Raw genomic sequence first — 22514 nt, forward strand, 5'->3', positions numbered from 1 at the left:
CCCCACTCTCTTCTGGCTTGTAGAGTTTCTGCTGAGAGCTCCGTTGTTAGTCTGATGGGCTTTCCTTTGTGAGTAACCCGACCTCTCTCTCTGGCTGCCCTTAACATTTTTTCCTTCATTTTAAGTTTAGTGAATCTGACAATTATGTGTCTTGGAGTTGCTCTTCTCAAGGAGTATCTTTGTGGCGTTCTCTGTATTTCCTGAATTTGAATGTTGGCCTGCCTTGCTGGATTGGGGAAGTTCTCCTGGATAATATCCTGCAGAGTGTTTTCCAACTTGGTTCCATTCTCCCCGTCACTTTCAGGTACACCAATCAGATGTAGAGTTGGTCTTTTCAGATGGTCCCATATTTCTTGGAGGCTTTGTTCATTTCTTTTTGTTCTTTTTTCTCTAAACTTCTCTTCTTGCTTCATTTTGTTCATTTGATCTTCAATCACTAATACCCTTCCTTCCAGTTGATTGAATCGGCTACTGAAGCTTGTGCATTTGTCACGTAGTTCTCGTGCCATGGTTTTCAGCTCCATCCAGTCCTTTAAGGACTTCTCTGTATTGGTTATTCCAGTTAGCCATTCGTCTGATCTGTTTTCAAGGTTTTTAACTTCTTTGCGTTGGGTTCGAACTTCCTCCTTTAGCTCAGAGTAGTTTGATCGTCTGAAGCCTTCTTCTCTCAACTCGTCAAAGTCATTCTCCGTCCAGCTTTGTGCCGTTGCTGGTGAGGAGCTGCATTCCTTTGGAGGAGGAGAGGTGCTCTGATTTTTAGAATTTTCAGTTTTTCTGCTCTGTTTTTTCCCCATCTTTGTGGTTTTATCTCCCTTTGGTCTTTGATGATGGTGACGTACAGATGGGGTTTTGGTGTGGATGTCCTTTGTGTTTGTTAGTTTTCCTTCTAACGGTCAGGACCCTCAGCTGCAGGTCTGTTGGAGTTTGCTGGAGGTCTACTCCAAACCCTGTTTGCGTGGATATCAGCAGCGGCGGCTGCAGAACAGCGAATATTGGTGAACAGCAAATGCTGCCTGATCGTTCCTCAGGAAGTTTCGTCTCAGAGGGGTACCCGGCCGTGTGAGGTGTCAGTCTGCCCCTACTGGGGGGTGCCTCCCAGTTGGCTGCTCGGGGGTCAGGGACCCACTTGAGGAGGCAATCTGTCTGTTCTCAGATCTCAAGCTCCATGCTGGAAGAACCACTACTCTCTTCAAAGCTGTCAGACAGGGACATTTAAGTCTGCAGAGGTTTCTGCTGCCTTTTGTTTGTCTGTGCCCTGCCCCCAGAGGTGGAGTCTACAGAGGTAGGCAGGCCTCTTTGAGCTGTGGTGGGCTCCACCCAGTTCGAGCTTCCCAGCCACTTTGTTTACCTACTCAAGCCTCAGCAATGGTGGACACCCCTGTCCCAGCCTTGCTGCCATGTTGCAGTTCAATCTCCGACTGCTGTGCTAGCAATCAGTGAGGCTCCGTGGGTGTTGGACCCTCCAAGCCAGGCGTGGGATATAATCTCCTGGTGTGCCATTTGCTAAGACCGTCAGAAAAGCACAGTATTAGGGTGGGAGTGACCCGATTTTCCAGGTGCCATTTGTCCCCCCTTCCCTTGGCTAGGAAAGGGAATTCCCTGACCTCTTGCACTTCCCGGGTGAGGCGATGCCTTGCCCTGCTTCGGCTCACGCTCGGTGCACTGCACCCACTTTCCTGTACCCACTGTCCGACAGTCCCCAGTGAGATGAACCCAGTACCTCAGTTGGAAATGCAGAAATCACCCGTCTTCTGTGTCGCACATGCTGGGAGCTGTAGACAGAGCTGTTCCTATTCAGCCATCTTGGAACCATCCCCAGGTGAAGTGTGTTTCTTATAGGCAGCAAATAGTTAGGTCTTATTTTTTTCCATTCAACCACTCTATGTCTTTTGACTGGAGAGTTTAGTCTATTTACATTTAATATTATTATTGATAAGTAAGGACTTACCTCTGCCATTTTATTGTTTTCTGGTTGTTTTATGGTCTTCTTTTCCTTCCTTCCTTTCTCCCTTTCTTCGTTTCTGTCTTCCTTTTTGTGAAAGTAATTTTCTCTGGTAGTATGTTTTAATTTCTTGCTTTTTATTTTTTGTGTATTTGTTGTAGTTTTTTTATTTGAGGTTACCATGAGCCTTGCAAATAACATCTTATAACTCGTTATTTAATTTAATTGATTTATCCATTTATTTATTTGAGACAGGGTCTTGCTCCATTGCCCAGGCTGGAGTGCAGCGGGGTGATCTTGGCTTACCATAATCTCTGCTTCCTAGGCTCAAGTGATCCTCCCACTTCAGCCTCCAAAGTAGCTGCGACTATAGGCACATGCCATCATGCCTGGCTCATTTTTGTATTTTTTGTAGAGATGGGGCTTCTTCATGTCACCCAGGCTGGTCTTGAACTCCTGGTCTCAAACAATCCGCCCACCTCAGCCTCCTAAATTGCTGGGATTATAGGCATGAGCCACTGAGCCCAGCCATAACCCATGATTTTAAACTAATGACAACGTAAGCTTGATTGCAAAAACAAAGAAGCAAAGATAAAAGCTAATACAAACTCTACCCTTTTACTTAATCCTCCCTTTAAACTTTTGGTTGTTTCATGTTATATTTTATTATATACTATGTCTTAAAAGCTGTTGTAGTTATTTTTGATAGGTTCATCTTTTATTGTTTCTACTCAAGATATGAGTGGTTTATACACCACAATTGCAGTGTTACAATATTCTGTATTTGTTTATGTACCCACTATTACCAATAAGTTTTATACCTTCAGATAATTTCTTATTGCTCATTAACATCCTTTTCTTTCTTAAAATGAAAGTGAAGCAAATACTATGTCCACATTTATGAGTAGGCTCCTAGTGATAATGGAGCAAAGCAACTAGCCCTCAGGCAGGGCCTGGTAAGGTCACCATGCTTCACTCAGCACCTGGAGTCTCGCATAGCAAGCTCAGATGTGCCAGTTTAGAGGGTCTGACTCACATTAACCAATTCACAATATGCTGATCAGTTCCCAGGGTCTTTATAATAAAGCGGGAAATTACTCAACAGACTGGATATTTGTAAGTATGTAATTTTTACCAACAGGAGAGTGGCTTCCTTTAAAGTTCAGAGAACCCCTTATTCTGTAGTCCTCTCACAACACTGTCTGAAAGGGCTAATTCTAAAAAATATCTCATCATCCAAACTTTGTGGCTGGTACCCTAAAGAGGCCCTGGTTGAATGCAATGACGTCTGGGCTTCTATTTTGATGTACATGTCACAGCACTATGTCCTAAGAGACATGTTTTAAAGAGGCCTGAGAGAATCGAAGACAACCTATTCATAAAAACATTGATATGAATATAGATGTATAAATGTGCACATCACCATAATGTGAGTTTAAAAGTAGAGAGAAAAAACATCATGGAGAAAAACAAGTTTTTAAAGCACAATATACAGAATAATTTTACAACTAAAACTTTGTGGCCTAGAGCATCAAGCCTGTTAATTCGTCATTTCTTTATCTGCATTGCCCCCCAGTGGTAAAATGGCATTAGTCCTTTGGAGAAATTAGGTAGATTGAGAGTAAAGGAGACAGGCTGGAACAAGAAAGAGGCAACAGTTCAGATTAAAAAATAAAATAGAAAAGAAGGAAAGTTTTTGTTTCCTGGAGCAGTAATCAGGAGAGTTTGGCATGAGAATGTTGGGGAGAGCCCCTGGCACCTGCAGGAGCAGCTTTTGCTGCCCATGGACATTGGTTAGGTCTCTTACATTTCTTAGAATTGACGAGGTTTTGCTTTGCTTTGTTTTGCAGGCCTGTGTAGGGTGGGTGTTGTGATACTGAGTCACATTGCTCAGCCACCACTGTACCTACCCTGTACTCCCCATCATCTCAGAGAAATGTGGCCTAGGAAATTGGATGACATGGTCCATAGTATGCATTTAGCAGAGGAGATGTTGGCAGAATAGCTTAGTGGCCCAGAAATGCAGGGCATTCTACCCTTTTTAGCTACCCTGGGGACTCACAGACAGACGAGGGCCTTTTAAAGAGGGTGTTTGTTTATAATTTATGTCCATCTATTTTCAATGAGACAAGGAGAGCTACAATGAATATCACAGTCAAATGGACATTAGAAAAATAAAGATGGCAAACTAGAAACAATCTTGAGGAAGGAGCAGAAACAGTACAGGGACTTTGGCACAAGGTGATTACCACAACTAAGCATTGCATTTAGTTCTAAATTATGGCTAATGCAAACTGGAAATGCAGGGAATTATATAGTTTCCATTGCCTGGAGCAAGAAAACTTAACTGATCTTCAGAGATACACAGTTCTTGGCATTATATGACAAGAGGAATTCCAGAAATCCTAGATCCATAAATAAATATTGCTATTGAAAATTGAAATATTGCATTCAATTGCATTGAAACTATCCAAATGTATAGTTGATTCTCTTCCATGAGAGCTTGCAGACCTGTTACTACACCTAGTTAGTTCCCCTAACCTCTGGTGAGACCTCTAGTGGGCCATGGAGTTACTGCAAAGTGTCCGTGAATCTCGATTCTAGAGGGATCGTTTCAGTAGTGAAAAAATGTTTTGTGCAAATAAATGTACCAATATTTTTCAAAAATATTTAATATGAAGATTATTATAACTAGTAAAATATAAATTTATTTAAAAGAACTACTGAATTCACATTAGCTTCTAGTTATTACAGACTTTCTTAATTAGAGTCTACTAATAATGCCATTATTTTAAAATTGTATATTACAAGTAGGTCCTTGTGCTTGTAAAGGTTGTAAACCATCACTGGTGCAGACTATCTAGATGGTGTTATTAATCTAAGCGGAGAGGGCAGACACTGCCCACCCCTCCTTAATCATACTCTCAATAACTTTTTCATGTTCTATGATGAGCTCCAAGGAAGGCACTTTGTGCTCGGATGCTCTGGGGCTTTGCTCAGTAGTTAGCTTTGTGGTTTTAGGAGGCCCAAGAGAACTTCAGGGCTTTCCACTCTGAGCACTTTGTTCAGGAAGCTTAAGAGACTTGTTGTGGTTTCGGAAATGACATGCTTGAAGTTGGAGTTCGCACAAACTACTGCTCCTGCTTAAACAGATGGTAGGAAGAAAGACAGCCATAGGGGCTGGTGGCCTGAAAACCGAAGCTGTGGTTGTCTCCACAGACAACTGTTCTTCAACAAGCTTGCAATTAATTGCTCCACAGAGACATACGCACTTCTTTCATGTGGGCAAAGAAAGAACTTTATCAGACAAAAAGCCTCATTTCTCTTAAAACGGGATGAAGGGGAGGAAGTTAGGCAGTCAATCGGGGCAGATTTTACAACACTGAAAATCACGTTTTTGTTGAGTTCTCCCTTAACATATGGGTGACTCCATGCTGCTATAGATGCTTCGTAGATATTTGTGTTACTGTCAACTGCTGGCTGATAACTGCCATAAAGCCCCTAGAGAGGGGGAGGCAGAGCTCCCTCAAGCAAGCCTAAAATCTTAACCTACTGTGGTCTAACTCAACCAGCTTAACTTGGCTGTCTGGGGACAGAAGCTGATGGCAACAAGATTTCAAAAGTAAAATGGGCATGTGCAAAGCCTTGTAAGAAACAAAGTATTTCAGCCTCACCTGATGCAGTGGTGCCATTAAACAAGCTACCAAATCAGCATCGCAAAAACAGACTGGCATATTTGTTAAATATAGTACCAAGGTCACAAATAGTTTTTAGTTATAACTTTAAATTTATATATAGACACATATAAATTTGAATGTCTAGACAAAAATGCCTCTCCCACAGTCTATCATGGCTCCTAAGTTATACCATTGGAAATTCATTGATTTGAGCCAAGAGTCTTTTCTATCTCAGAATGTGAACATTCTGGTGGATGTGTCTGGTAGAAATGGGGAAAATGACACACATCTGAAGATGGGACAAGGTGCCAGTAAGGAAAATAGAATGATAAAGGAAAATAAAAGGTAAGACAGATAGTTCTCACAGCTTGGAATGTTTGGAATCTATGGTCAGAAACAAGGTGGCCAAAGGCAAAAATCACAAACTGGGCAAGGTTCTGCCGGCTTGTGGCCCAACCTCTCAGCTCCCCTCCTCTTCCCTGCCAGGCCCTCCTCCCCTTTGGCAGACTTGATCTCAAGCTTTAAGCTCTTTTTTACCCTCTTTGCTTTAGCAAACCTATCATATAAAGCGCACTGAACCAAGGAAACACACATTCACATCTTGATTCTTTGGCTAAGACATTCCATCTCTTTCCATCTTTCTTGTAAAATATGGTTATTACTATATATTTATATAGTATATATATATATGCTAAATATATATTATATATTTATATAGTGTATATATATGCTAAATATATATTATATATTTATATATAAAAATATATTTTTTCTTGCATCTTAACATTACTGAAGTCTGGAAACATTTTTAAATGAGTACCTTTTTTTTTGCACTTTCTCACAGGTTACTGTGAGGGCTGAATGTGCAAAACTTTTTCTAAAGTGTTGCCAATGTATAACCGTAGACAAATAAAATGCCCTGAGATCATTCCCTACAGCATCTGCTGTCTATGGAATGATGGTCCAAATGATTGCCAGTGACATCTCACAGGTTCCTACACAGCATGCACATGAGGACTTATAAAGTATAAAGGCTGCTGGAAGATGAATGTTGGTCTTCTGGCAGATGAAGAAAGAGGAAGGTTTGAGGACAGGCCAGCCATGTGGTGCTTCTCAGTATACCAGGTGGATAATCCTCACTCTTATTCCTGGGCTATTCTTCAGCAATTTTTATAGTATAGCATCTATTGTCTTTAAAGTATTATGGTCAGGGAATGCATGGCGTCAGGCCTACTGGGGGTCTTGCTGTGGTCAGCATTCTTAAATTCCAAGAAGATGAATTTCTCAAAGTTAGACAATAAGTTATTGGCAGAGTCAGGATTCAAACTTAGAAACCCCTGTGTCCTGTGCAGATAAACAAACCTGTGCAGCCAGTGAATGGAGAGTCAACAAATATTTATTGAATGGCTGCTATGTGCTAGGTTCTACACCAGCCATCAGACATGCAAAAATGAATACATCCTCCTACAAACTGATAATAGATAGGAGAATGTGCTAAGAGCATGAAGTAGAAATTCACAAAAAAAATTTCAAATGACCAATAAATGTTTAAATGCGTGTAATTCACTAGCAAAATAAATTTAAGGCCAGGCATGGTGGGTCATGCCTGTAATCCCAGCACTCTAGGGGCCAAGGCAGGAGGATTGCTTGAGCCCAGGAGTTCAAGACCAGCCTGGGGAACATAGCAAGACCCCTTCTCTTAAAAAAAAAAAAAAAAAATTAACAGGTGGTGGTGCATGCCTGTAGTAACAACTACTCAGGAGGCTGTGGTGGAAGGATCCCTTGAGGTCGAGGCTGCCATGATCACAGCACTGCACTCCAGCCTGGGTGATAGAGCAAGACCCTGTAACAAAGAAAGAAAAAGAGAAAGAGATTGAGAGAGGAAGGAAAGAAGGAAGGAAGGAAAGAAGGAAGGAAGGAAGGAAGGAAGGAAGGAAGGAAGGAAGGAAGGAAGGAAGGAAGGAAGGAAGGAAAGAAGGAAGGAGAGAGAAAGGGAGCGAAAGAGAAAGAAATAAATTTAAGTTAAAAGGAGAAACCTTTTTTTTTTTTTTTGCTCTGTTTGTCAAAGGTTAAAAACATGACTATACTCAGTGTTAGGAGAGTGTGGGGTCACTTTCCTATCCAGGTGATGTTAAAATACTACCTTGCTAGGGGAGTTTGACAATATGTATCAAAATAAAAATGCCTGTCTTTGTCTTGGCAATTCCTAGTTCAGGAATTTAATCAAAGGAAATAATAGAAAAGGGGCTCAAGGATGTGTGTACAAATATTTTCATTGAAGTATTGTTCATAATAACGGTTTCATTTAAATGTTGTTTACAGTATTGTTAAATAGTTTATGGTCCATCCTTTCCATGGAATGCTGTGCAGTTGATAATGTATACCTATGTTAGGATAGTTATCCACAATATATAACTAAGTAAAAATAATGACAGCATGCTATATACAGCTTAATCCTATTTCTGTTTTTTAAAATGTGTACATGCTTATATACATAGAAATAAATTTTAAAAATCCTCCAAGATTGTAAACATGAACTAGCCTTTCATTTTTATACTTATTTCTTTAATTTTTTGCAATGATCTTTGATTACTGTTTTTTTTTTTTTTTTGAGACGGAGTCTCACTCTGTCACCCAGACTGGAGTGCAGTGGCGCAATCTCGGCTCACTGCAAGCTCTGCCTCCCGGGTTCGCACCATTCTCCTGCCTCAGCCTCCTGAGTAGCTGGGACTACAGGCGCCCGCCACCACGCCCGGCTAATTTTTTGTATTTTTAGTTGAGATGGGGTTTCACCATGTTAGCCAGGATGGTCTCGATCTCCTGACCTTGTGATCCTCCCACCTCGGCCTCCCAAAGTGCTGGGATTACAGGCGTGAGCCACCGTGCCCAGCCTGTTTACTTTTATTATCTGAAAAAAGCATTAAAATACAAATATTAAACACTCTACCCTAAAGGAGATCACATTTGTATATTCAGCATATTTTTTCAAGTTGGAATGTGAGTTGTCTACCAAGTCTAGAATCTACAGAATTGATAGCGCTAGCAAAGCTGTGAGACTGCCCCTCTTTTCAAAAACCTAAGCCCAGTCTCATGAAGAGAGCAGGGAATCCAGAGACAACCTGCCTCCAGTCCTGTTCTCGGCATTTTTCTACTTAAGATAAATCAGACCCAGGTGATATAATCATTTCTCTTGAGCAGGGAAGGAACTAAAGTTTATTGGGAGGTTCTTAACTTCTAGGCACTCTGCTGGATACTTTTATATCCTCCACCTGTGAGGCAAGTATCACTAGACAAAGTAACTGGTCGCAAATTGCACAGCTAGAAATTGGCAGTAATGACTCAAATCTAGCCCTGTGATTCCAAAACCTGTGCTATTTCCCTGGGTTCCTTACTATCTGCTTTTTTGTGTTTGTGTGTTTACCAATATAGATGCCTGGTTTAGTGTGAAATAGTCTATGCATTAAAATTTGCACTTAACTGAGTCTTCCTTAGAAGAGTCCTACAGTGGGCACATTCCTGTCATGACCTGGCTTTCTTTAACTGGCTAGTGACTCATATATTCTTCCATCCATCTATCCATCCTTACATATATCATCTGCATTCATCCATCCTTTTGTCTGGAATTTGTTAAGAGCAATATAGTTTATAGTTTAAAAGTATGATCCATAGAACCCAATTGGCTGGGTTCAAATTGTGGCTCTACTGCTTAGTAGATATAATGGACAAGTTGCTTAAAAACTTTGTGCCTTCTTTTCCTGTAAAATGGAAATGATAACAGTACCTACCTCATAATGTTGCTGTGAACATTAAATGAGTTAATCAACGTAAAGTACTTAAGGCAGAGCCTGGCATGTAATAAGCACATCATCCGCATCATTAGTATTAATACCACGCACCAGGTACTGGGCTAGATGCAGAAATTTCAAAATAGAACAAGATAGGGTTTCTGCCTTCAGGGAGCTTATAGTCTAGTGAAAGAAATAGATATGCCAATACCATACGGACAGAGTGTTGTGCTGGTAGCACTGGCGAGGGTGGGGCCAAGGGGGGCTTTCCAGGGAAGATGTTGTCTAATCTGAAGTGAACCCAGCAAACGTGGGAAAAGCAGGGACCAAGGCCTGGAAGCAAGGATGTGTGGCCAGCTTGAGGCACAAACTGGTGGAGAATTACTGAGGTGCAGAATGCTGGAGAGGTACTGGGGACTTGGAACTGGAGAGGGGACGTCAGCTCTTGTTCTTTGGCAACATTTTTTTTTTTTTTTTTTGAGATGGAGTCTCCCTCTGTTGCCCAGGCTGGAGTGCAGTGGCGCAATCTCTGCCCACTGCAACCTCCACCTCCCGGGTTCCAGTGATTCTCCTGCCTCAGCCTCCCAGGTAGCTGGGATTACAGGCACGTGCCACCACACCCAGCTAATTTTTGTATTTTTAGTAGAGACAGGGTTTCACCATGTTTGTCAGGCTGGTCTCCTGACCTCAGGTGATCCACCCGCCTTGACCTCCCAAAATGCTAGGATTACAGGCGTGAACCACAGTGCCTGGCCCTTTGGCAACTTTTATAAAGTCCCCTGAATCTAATGCACCTGACCATACTCCTCTCCTTTTCTTGCTTGTAAACTTTCTCCCTGTTACAGCCGTTAATTATATCAGACCTAAAAGATAAGGTCAGGATCATAGGCAAAACCTCTCCTTTCATTATGCATTCAGTTTCTGTGGTTGACTAACTGAATGTTCCAGCTACACCTGTGTCTGGAAACTTCAGCATATTTAGAGTCTCGGACCGTGAAAGTGGGATCCAAAGTGTCCCGGGCTTTGGGGAAAACTGACTTCCCAGGCATCTGAGTATGGCAGGCTTTTCTGCACAAGCTGCCTCCCAGTACACAGAGCAACATCATATGCTGGGGGCCATACCCCTGCCGTCAGCAGAAATCACAGCGTGCCTGCGGGGCAGGCTGACCGGCTTAGGCAGGCAGAGTTTATTACAGTTCTTATATTGTCCTTCTCAAAAATAATTATGTTCCAAGGACAGAATGCCAGTGATGCAACTCTACTGACTCTGAGTTTTACAAGTCTGTCTTAATCAGTCTCCAGGATTGCTCTCCCTCTATTTCTTAATTCCCCTTTAAAGTTTCAAGTAGTACATGTTTTCAGATTATTCAGCTTTAATTTATGCCCCATTCATCAAGAAAATTGTGTATTTTTAATTTTGGTCTTCAATCATTGCATTCCACAGGTGTTCTCTCTGTGTAAAATAATTAGGCCAAAAGATTCTCATTCTATTTTGAGATTCTGTTTGAAAGTGAATCAAGGGTGCTCACAAAACTGGTTACCATTTTCCAGAAATGGTTCAAACCCTGTTACCTATATTTATCTTCAAAAGGACTTTTGTAGTTTTATCATAATACCCTTGGTGTTTCTCTTTTGGCTTCAGCTTGCTTTCTGTTTTTTGGTGTAACATCCTCCATTGTGTATTTTTGGCAACAGAGCTAGTCTGAATCAGTCTTCCTTTCATTTCTGAGGCAAACTGGTGATTCATCTTTAGCATGGGAACCACTTTTACAAACACGGCTGTTACTGTTTTCTGTCACTGAGGTTTGAGTTAGGAAGATAGATCAAGGAAAGTTGTCTCAAGAGACATTCAAGTTTGCAATTCATTCTTCATGGTTGCTGCTGTCTACAGCACTCAAAAGAATGTGAGTGCAGGTCAGGTCCCTTTGGCCTGCCTTTGACACCACCCCTGCTTGAGGGGGAAGTTGAGATGTGTGGAGGAGGATGGGCTGAAAGTTGCATGGAAAAGTAATAAAATCATGTGCCTCCTCATGTGCTATACTGAGAAGGGCCTACCATCACCTACATTGTATTCCTGCCAAAAATGTTTAATCTGAACCTAATGGTGAGGAAACAATTGGGCACGTTCAAATTGAGAAGTATTTTGCAAAACAGCTGGCTTAGGCTCTTCAAAAATGTCAATGCAATGAAAAACAACAACAATAAAAACTTGGGGAATCGTTCTAGATTAGTTCTCAAAATGTAGGCCCTGGAACTAGCAGCATGGGTATCACCTAGGAGTTTATTGGAAAAGCATAATCTCAAACCCCACCACAGAACTATAGAGTTAGAATCTACATTTTAACAAGATCCCAGCTGATTTGTATGCACACTCAAATCTGAGAAGCTCTGCTCTAGTATACAATTAATATTCAAATTGTCCCAATAGTCTCAGCAATATCCCTCTTTCCTGTTCCCTGCCCTACACCCTCCCCAAGTCTTAATCTAGTCAAGTATCTCACATTACATTTGTCAAGTCTCTTTTACTTTAGAACTGTGGCTCTAAAACTTTAGCATGCATCAGATTCACTTGGAGGGTTTGTGGAAACACAGATTGCCACCCCTCCCCCAACCTTATTTCTTAGTGGTGGTGTTAGTTGCTGTTGACTCTGGGACCACACTTTGAGTACCAAGATGTCAAATAATAGTACATATTATTTCAGTGTTAAATTTCTAAGTGTAATAATCATGGTTATATAGGAAAAGGCCTTTGTCCCTAAGAGATTCTTGCTAAAGTATTTAGAGATTAAGTATCATGATATCTACAACTAACTCACAGATGATTCTGTAAAACCAAGAAACAACTAGATGGATGGATGGAGCATGGATGCATGGAGTGGATGGATGGATGTGATATGGACAGGCGATAGGGAAATACCGGGTAGGAGAGGGTGCTTCCCTGGCAAAGGCTACACCCTCCCTCAAGCCTGAAGACCCATGGCCGTAAGTGGGAACAGCCATTTCTGTTTTCATGCCCAAAAAGTTGCCTTTCAGCTCACCACACCCCCTATCCTGTACCCCGTACCTATATAAACCCCAAGTTCCAGAAGCAGAAGAGCAGATGAGGAGATAAGGAGACAAGCAAATGGCAGAATGATGTGGCAGAGAAAGAGAGAAGAGAATGTCTGAACACCAAGAGGAGTGTGACTGGGGGTGGTTGGAGAGAAGTTCGGCCACTGGACAGCCAAACTCCAGGGGAAGATCATCTTCCCACTCCATCTCCCCTTCCAGCTCCCCATCCATTGTGCTGAGAGCCACCTCCACCACTCAATAAAACCCACATTCATCCTTCAAGCCTGTGTGTGACCCGATTCTCCCAGGATACTGGGCAAGAGCTCAGAATACAAAAAGCTGTCACAGTGGCTCTCTGCCCTTGAGAAAAAGCAGAGGTCCATTGAGCTGGTTAACACTTAAGCCTTCTGTGCACAGCAAGGCTAGAAGAGCATTGTAACACTGGGGCCACAGGCACCCACCTCTAGACACTACTGTGGTGCCAGAGCCCAAAGCGCTCACCCCAGCTCCTGCACCTGCCTGTCTGCATGCTCCCCCATCCTGTCAGGGGTTTGAGCAGCCAACAGGCGAGCCACACCCCTGTCACACGTCCTATGAGGGAAATCAGAGAACTCTCCCATTTCAGGTGGATGAGGAATAGATGGATAAAACAAATGTGACAAAATATTAACAATCAGTGAACATTAACATAGATGAACAATGAACATAGTGAGCAAAATAGTTGAGGGAACAAATAAACAAACAAACTGTAGGGGAGGAAAAAACCTTTTCCTCTACCCTCTTAGGCTCACTACCCAGGACTCCGCAAATTAGACTATTAAAAGACAGATCGACAACTGAAAAGGCACACATATTTTATTTATGTTAATTTTTACATAACGAGGGGACCGTTTTTAGAAAAGAAGTGAAGACCCAAAGAAGCAGGTCTGGGAACTTATATGGCATTTTAAACAAAGAACAATACATTGCAAGATATGTGACAAGAAAAGAAAAGGGTTTGGGGCTTCCAAGCACTGCAACCTGTGGGTAGGTAAATATGTGGGGGAAATATGTGGAAGATAAAGCTATCTTAGCAAGATTTGTTTGTGCAGGTCCACCTCAGTGCTGACGTTCTGTTTTCTTCAAGGTCATGGTACTTTTCTGGGAGAAGAGATTTATGGCAGTCTTTATTTCTCAGGAGTTTCTGCTTTTACTCAGGTAAGGGAAGCTCTGGGAAGCCTTCTTTCTGCATCTGTTGAATCCCAAATGTCTTCAGCTCGAGATAATTTTGATGCTAAAGTGGCATATTTTAGTGCAGCATATTCTGATCCTCTTCAAAACAGTGTCGACCTAGAGGTTGTAGATTTTATGTGGAGTCTGGAAAGAGCAGTGTTTGGGTGGATCTGATTTGCAACTTCTCACTGCTTAGTGAGCAGAGTATAGTGTGTGACCCAATAACCAGCCCTATTATTTTAACCTGAAGAGCTGAATCAAAGCTGGTCTTGTAGGTAATGTTTTGTCCCATTATGACCAATGGGAGGGGTAACCATACTGAAATGATTTCACTAATATTAAATCTTCAACCAACATTTTCTTACCATTTGTTTATGGCGTCAGGAATATTTGACCCTTGCCATCTCTGTCCAGTCAGCAACCATCCATGGGTGTTTAGAGTAGGCAGTGGGAGGGGTGTTCCATTAATCACTCAGATGGGTAGGTCAAAGCACCCTGGTCTAGTTGAGGAAGGAATGCAGATTCTGGTTCTGGCAATGCCAATTAAGAGGTAATGTTGTCAAGGCAGGTCACTTAGGCCCTTTGGCTTGGTGTTTCCGTGTCTGTAGTCTGATTGTTGGACTAGAGCAGAGATTTTCAAATTGTGTTTTGTGGAACCTTCAGAGATTCCCTAAAGATACCTCAGGGACTACTGAAAGGAGTGAGGGGTACCTGTTAGGAAGGTTTGAGGGGAAGGTTCCTCCCCTACTCCAACCACACATAGTGAACCATTCACCCCTGTGTGGTGATGGCAGGTGGGACACTGATGGGAGGAATAAGGTGGTGGAGTGGGGAGAGAATACAAAGAAAGACAGGGTGCTCCTTGGCCACATATGAACCACCTCATTCTTGTGAAAGTTTATTGAGTGCCTCCTAGTTCAGGCCAGACATCCTCATGAAGACTGAAGAGGTGGCCAAGGCAGCACAGGGTCCAAGGACACAGGCTTCTTAGAGGAGGTGTTTTTCAGTCAGATCCCCAAAAGCAGCTCCAAAACCATGACTGATTCTAAGGCTGGTGTATGCCCTGTCTCGCTCTCCATAGCAAAAAGAGAGGACTCTTTTCATGTTGCCACTGTAAATGCCCTGTGTGAGCTACATGCTTCAGTAAGAAATGCCCAGTATCCCTTGGCACCAGCCAAAATTTGCCTTAAATTGTGAACTAATTCATTTTTCTTTGAATTATTTCACTGTTGCTTACACTTAGCTGTAATTCTAAACAAACAACTTTGCCAGCGAGCTGTAATGTTTACACTGACCATAACCGAGTTTCTAGATGTCCAGATACTTTCTTGACAGCACCTCCTGCCACAGCATACTGTCCCACCAGTCAGGCGAGGTCTTCAGGCCAGGTCCCCTGCAGGAAGACATGGCAATGCTAGCTAAGATGTCTTGGGTTAGGCATCTGTTTCTCCTGTGCATGCACACACACACAAATGTGCGCACACACACACACAGTAACTAGATAACTATTAGTCACCAAGGCATAAATTTTAAACTCTGAAAAATGTAAACGGACACCACATTCCCTATTGTTACAAGTTTAGTCCAGCAGTTAGTCCCACTTTTGCTTCTATAGGAACTAGGAAATAAACCCTAATCACATTGGTGACCCACAGTCTCAGATACTACAGAAGGCAAGAGTTTGATATTACTTTTCTTTAAAATCACATATATACACAAGCATACACACACACAAACAAGCCTCATATTAAAGATTTCTTCTTGGATTTGCATTCACTTCCTCTATATCCACTGTTGCACTTGCTTCTGGTCACACTGATCTGCCACAGTCTTGCATAAGTCACTTAGCCTTTCTCAGCCTTACCATCTCTATTTATAACATGAGAGAGTTTGCAAGTTCCCAAGGGGCCATGCTGTCTTTGGCCTAATTCTGTGCCATGTTCTCTGCCTAGAAGCCTGCACCACTCTCCAAGTTTGCCCCTCAGGAGACATTTGGCAATATCTAGAGACATTTTTGGTTGTCACAACTTTGAGGAAAGGGGATGTGACTGACATCTAAGTAGAGGCCAGAGATACTATTAAACATCCTATAATGCAAAAGTAAGCCCTTACAACAAATAGTTATCTGGTCCAAATGTCAGTAGTGCCAAGGTTGAGAAACCCTTTTCTAGACCTAGTAATTCCTACAAGTTCTTTACCTAGAAATTTAAATGTCACTTCCCCCAAAGACCCCTGTCTAATACCCTAAACTGAAGAAAAAGCTATCAGAGCACTTGTCCCCATATGCTGTAATTGTTCTTTACCCATTTTTTTCTTTTTAGAAGATGAAGGAATATTTCTTGTTTAGTGCTTTATGTATCTCTCAAGCTTAGCACATAATGTAGCAGAATAAGGGAATGGATAGATGGATGGATGGTGTCTTAGTCCATTTAATGTTGCTATACAGAATAACTGAAACTGGGTAATTTATTTTAAAAAGAGAGAGATTTATTTAGCTCAGGATTATACAGACTGGAAAGTTCGAGGGCGTGGCCCTGGCTTCTGGTGAGGTCTTTCATGCTGGGACATAACATGGTGGAGAAGGTCAATGGAGAAATAGACATGTGCAAAAGACACAAAACCCAAGGGGAATCGTTGGCTTTATAACAAACCACTATTATGGGAATTAGTTCAGTCTTGCCAGAGTGAGAACTCACTACCATGAGAACAGCACCAAGCCTTTCATGAGAGATTTACCTCCGTGACCCAAACGCCTCCCATTAGGCCCCACCTCCCAACACAGACACATTGTCATCTAAGACTCCAGGCAAGCTCCTTTAGACTGTAAGCCTGTAAAATAAAAAAATAAGTTACAGTTAATCATTATTGTACAACATTGGTTGGAACTTCATGGGTCCACTTATACATGAATTTTTTTCTGCTTCTGCCACCCCTAAGATAGCAAGGCCAAACACTTCTCTTCCTCCTCTTCCTCAGCCTACTCGAAATAAAGGATATTGACCTTTATAAGAATGAAGGATAAAGACCTTTATGAGGATGAAAACCTTTATGATGATCCACTTTCACTTGATAAAGAGTAAATGTATTTTCTCTTCTTTATTATTTTGTGAATAACATTTGCTTTTCTCTAGCCTACTTTATTATGAGAATATAGTATATAATACATATATAAAATATGTGTTCGTTCACTGTTCATGTTATTGGCAAGGCTTCTGGTCAACGGTAGGCTATTATAGTTAAGTTTTGGGGGAGACAAAAGTTATATGTAGATTTTTGACTCTGCAAGGGGTCAGCACCTGAACTCACACATTGTTCAGGGGGTCAACTGTATTTACTTCCAAGATAAAATGGTTGTACAGGCATTGGGTAAACATTCCCATTCCAAAAGGGAGAAATTAGTCAAAAGAAATAAATGACAAGCCCCACACAAGTCCAAAACCCAGAAAGGAAGTCATTAAATCTTAAAGCTCCAGAATAAACTCTCAGATTCCATGTTTCTCATCCTGGACTCAATGGTGCAAGGGGTGGACTCTCATGGCTTTGCTGGTTGTAGCCCACATGGCTGCTCTAACAGGCTGGAGTTAAATGTATGTGGCTTTTTCAGGCTATGGCTGAACACAGCCAGTGGCTCCACCACTGTGGGGTCCTGGCTGTAGCCCCACCTGTGTGGCTTCACTAGGCATTGCTGTGGTGGGGACTCTGCAGCACTCTGACTTCACATTTCTGCTCAGCATTTCCCTAGTAGTTGCACTCTGTGGTGGCTCCATTCTTTCAACAAATCTCTCCCTGGGCCCACAGGCTTTTCCATTCAGCCTTTGAAATGTAGGTGGAGAAAGCCACACTTCCATAGCTCTTGCATTCTGTGAGTCTGCAGACTTAGCATCACATGGAAGCCACAAAGGCTTACTGCTTCAGCCCTCCAGAGCTACAGCCTGAGCCATATGTGGGGCCATTTGAGACGTGGCTACTCTAGCTCAAGCAGCCAAGATGTGGGGAGCAGTGTCCTGAGATAGTGTAGGAGTGTGGTACCCTGGGGACTGTCCCCCAAAACCATTCTTTCCTCTCAGGCCTTTGGACTCATGATGGGAAGGGTGTCTTCAAAGATCTTTGAAATGCCTTTGAGACCTTTTTCCCAGTGTTTTGATTATTAGCACCTGGCTCCCTTTTGTCAATGCCCATCTCTATAGCAAGCAGTAGCTGAGTCACACCCTTGGATTCCTCTCCTGGAAACTCCTTTTTCATTCTCTGTCACATAGCCAGGCTGTGAATTCTCCAAGTTTTTAATACTCTGCTTCTCTTTTAATTTTAAATTCTGTCTTTAGGTCATTTCTGTGCTGCCATAACTGAGCATAAGTCGTTAAAAGTAACCACACAGCTTCTTGAGTGCTTTGCTGCCTAGAAATTTCTTCCGCCAGATATCCTAGTTCACTGACTTGAGTTCAGCCTTCCACAAGGCCCTAGGCATGGACACAATGCAGCCAAGTTCTTTTCCCTGGTGTAACATTGGTGACCTTTGCTCCAGTTCCCAATAAGTTTCTCCTCACTTCTGTCTGAGACCTTGTCAGAATGTCCTTTACTGTCCATGTTTCTATCATTATTTTGGTCATGACCACTCAGCCAGCCTTTAAAAAGTTCCAAACTTTCTCACGTCTTTTTGTCTTCTGAGCCTCCACCACAGTCACCCTCAATGCTCTGTTCATGGCAATACAGACTTTCTAGCCTGCTCTTCCAAACTCTTTCAACCTCTGCCCATTACCCAGTTCCAAAGCCACCTATCTTTATAGCCACACCCATTCCTCGGTACCAATTTTCTGTCTTAGTCTGTTTTGTGTTGCTATAACAGAATACCTGAGACTATGTAATTTATAAAGAGGCTCATTTATGCCATAGTTCTGCAGGCTGAGAAGTTCAAGGGCATGACCCTGGGCTCTGGAAAGGGCTTTCATGCTGTATCATTAAATGGTGGGGAAGATCAAAGGGGAAGTGGACATGTGCAAAGAAGAGAGGTGTCCTGGCTTTATAACCCACTCTGGAAGGAACTAATTTAGTCTTGCCAGAGTGAGAATTCACTACCACAAGAATGGCACTACATCATTCATGAGGGATCCACCTCCAAGACCCAAACACCTCCCACTAGGCCCCGCCTCCCATTACTGTTACATTGGGAATCAAATTTCAATAAGAGTTTTGGTGGGGACAAACAATATCCAAACTATGGCGGATGGATAAAGTATTATTAGTTTGCTAGAGCTGCTATAAAATGCCACAGGGTGGGTGGCTTAACCAAAATAAATTTATTTTCTCACAGTTCCAGAGGATGGAAATCCAAAATCGAGGTGTCAGCAGGTGTTATTGCTTGAATGTTTGTAACCTCCAAAACTCATGTTGAAACTTAGTCCCTGGTGTGGCAGTATTACAAGATTAAGAGATGGGGCCTTTAAGAGGTGATTGGGTCATGAGGACTTTGATCTCATGAATGGATTAATTCATTCTTGGATTAATGAATTAATAAATTATCATGGAATGGGACTTGTGGCTTTGTAGGAAAAGGCAGAGAGACCTGATCTAGCACACTCAGCCCCTTTGCCGTGTGATGCCCTGTGCTGCCTCAGGACACTGGAGAGAGTCCCCACCAGGAAGAAGGCTTTTACCAGATGCAGTCCTTTGTTCTTGGACTTCTCAGCCTCCATAGCTGTAAGAAATACATTTCTCTTCTTTATAATTTGCCCAGTTTCAGGTTTTCTGTTATGAACAACAGAAAACAGACTAAGACAGCAGGTTTAGTTTCTTCTGAAGCTTCTTTCCTTGACTTCCAGATTGCTCTCTGCTCAGTGTGTGTCCTCACAGTGACCATTTGGTACCACTTTAGAGCCTGACTTTTCTACATCCATCCAAATTTCTCCTTCTTATAAGGACACCAGTCAGATTGGATTAAATCCACCCTAATTTTTAACTTATCACCTATTTTATCTTAATCACCTCTTTACAGGCCCTATCTCCAAATATAGTCACAGTCTGAGGTACTAAAGGTTAGGTCTTTAACATATAAATTTGGGGGTGGGGAACACAATTCAGCCTGTAACAGATAGATTTTCATTATCTCTGACATTCTGAGGTTCAACTCCTTAGGAATATGTCTTAATTCAAGACAGTTCTCCTGGTCTCTTCCCAGTACTAGCAGCTTTTCTTCAACAGTCTCTCCACCTTTTATTTCAAATAACTGAGGACTGTGAGATCGGCAAATAAAAATTATCTGTTGTAACCTTAGAGCTCACATCCTTAAAGAGATTATCAAAGGCAGACATCAATCCATCATTGGATCCTGCCTCCCCTACTTACAAACTGTGTGCTCTTGGGCAATTTCAGTTTCTGCTCTGAAAAATGGTATGATAATTATATGAACCTCCAAAAGATAGTGCTAGGATTCAGTAAGATAATACATAAAATATGCCTAAGGTAGTGCCTGGCACATAGTAAGGATTCAGTGAATGTTGCGAGGGTGGGGGTGTTTGGGTGTTTCAGCTATTGAGGTTTTTTGTGTGTGTTAATTACACTTTTTTTCAATATCACAGTAAAGTTTTTCTTTCACGTTAGTAAAAGCTTTGATATTTTCAAGGCAAAACATATTTTGCTTTCTAAGTCCTTCCTTTTAGTTGAAGTTACAGATAACTTAAGAAACCAAATTGTCATCAAGTTTTTACTCACAACTCCTACCCTGATACCCTGTGTAACCCCAACTCTCAGAAGCTAATGATGGGCTAATGGAAAAATGAGAGGAAAGAGATTTTTAGGACCTAGATCCCCTCTGTCAACTTCATCATCTCCATCTCATCCATCCCAGCATTCACTCCTGCATTAATCTTGTAGATTCTTGTTCCTTACTATCTCTTAAATATTTCTCCTTCCTAATAGGCTCATCTCTCCACCTTGGCTGAGACCCTCACCACTTGTTCAGTACCACTTTAGAGCCTGACTTCCCTGATCCTGGACCATGTACCTTCACACCCACACCCTGACTCTGCCCTCAATTTGATTTTGCCAAAATATAATGCCTCAATGGCTTCCTCTAGCTTTCAGGATAAACTTCAAACTACTTAATCCATGAGCCCTTTCCAATTTGACCCCTACTTTCTTCTATAGCTTCTTCCTCTCCCTGCCCCTCCCTCTGAAGGCTCTGTGCTGTTTCACAGGTCTGTCCCTCTCCGCATGTCACACTTTCTACTTCAAATCCCCTTCCTCTGTCCTTCACCTAGTCAGCTCCTGCTTGTTCTTCAAACATCCACCTCCTCCAGGAAGCCTTCTTTACTCTCTAGGCTCCAATAGTAGCTTTTATTTATTGAGGAAAATTTGCATACAATGAAATGCACAAATCTTAAGTATTAATTCAAGAAGTTTTAATAAATGTATACACACCCATGTAACCACTACCTCAATAAAAATATAGAAAAATGTTTGTGCTCCTTCCCAGTCGATCCTCACCCCCACCATTCATAAACACCCACCCCACCCTCCTAATTTCTACCACCACAGATTAGTTTTGCCTATTCTTGAACTTCATATAAATGGAATCATGGAATCACACTCTTTTCTGTCTGTTTTCTTTTGCTTAATATAGTGTTATTGCAATTCATCCATGTAGTATGTTACAGTAGTTCATTCTCTTTTTTAAAATTGCTGAGTAGAATTCCATTGCATGAACATATTACAGTTTGGTTAAACATTCACTGCCCTATTGATGGGCATTTGAACTGCTTTTATTTTTTGGCTGTTATGAATAAAGCTGTTATGAACACTGCTAGCATTTTTTATACATCTATGCTTTGCTCTTGATCTTAAGAGAAGAGTTTAATATCTCACCATTAAGTTTAGTGTTAGCAGTAGGTTTTTTAAAATTTTCCTTTATCAGAATGAGGACGTTTTCTCCTTAGTTTGCAGAGCTTTTTTTTCTTTTTAAATGATGAAGAGGTGCTAAATATTTTCAAAAATTCTTTTGCATTTATTAAAATAATAATTTGTTTTTTCTCCTTTTTTCTGTTTATATAGTGAATTAATTGATTTTGAATGTTAAACAATCTTTGCATTCTTTGCATGAATCATAGTCATGATTAATACAATTTTATATATTGCTGGATAAAACTTGTCAATTTAAAAGTATTTTTTGCTTCTATGTTTATGAAGGATATTGGTCTCTGATTTTCTTTTCTCAAAAGATTTACTTAAGTTTTGGTATCGGTATTCTGCTGACCTCATAAAATAAATATGGAAGTATTCCCTCATCCTTTGTTTTCTAGAAGAGTCTTTGTAAACTTGATATCATTTCTTTAAAAAATGATCAATATAATACACTAGGGAAGCCCTGGGCTGACAGTGTTCCTGTGAGACTGTTTTTATTATTATTATGAACTCTATTTCTTTAATAGATATAGAGCTCTTCATATATTCTATTTTTTCTTGTATCCGTTTTAGTAAATTTATCTTTCAAAGAATTTGTCCATTTTATCTACTTCTTAAAATGTAAACAAATTTTAAAAATTATTTTAAAAATTTTAAAATTAATTTTATAATTGGTTATCTAAACCTCATTTTTTGTTTGTCAGCCTTGCTTGGGATTTGTCCTTTATTTTATTTTATTTTTTGAGGCAGTGTCTCGCTCTGTCACCCAGGCTGGAGTTCAGTGGCACGATCTTGGCTCACTGCAACCTCCCTCCCAGGTTCAAGAGATTCCTGTGCCTCAGCCTCCTCAGTAGCTGGAATTACAGGCACATGCCACCACATCCAGCTAAGTTTTTGAATTTTTAGTAGAGGCAGGGTTTCACTATGTTGGTCAGTCTGGTCTTGAACTCCTGG

General features: G+C 41.4%; 1 annotated feature.

Annotated features, from left to right (window-relative positions):
• Positions 802–2001: an enhancer, noted in NCBI's record as "BRD4-independent group 4 enhancer chr4:123495468-123496667 (GRCh37/hg19 assembly coordinates)". NCBI's record gives its function as "activates an origin of replication core promoter dependent on BRD2, P300/CBP, MED14 and CDK7 cofactors, and independent of BRD4, by STARR-seq in HCT116 cells {active_cell/tissue: HCT116}" and the evidence as "EXISTENCE:reporter gene assay evidence [ECO:0000049][PMID:35650434]".

The sequence above is a fragment of the Homo sapiens genome, chromosome 4, assembly GCF_000001405.40.
Source record: "Homo sapiens chromosome 4, GRCh38.p14 Primary Assembly".
Taxonomy (NCBI): Eukaryota; Metazoa; Chordata; class Mammalia; order Primates; family Hominidae; genus Homo; species Homo sapiens.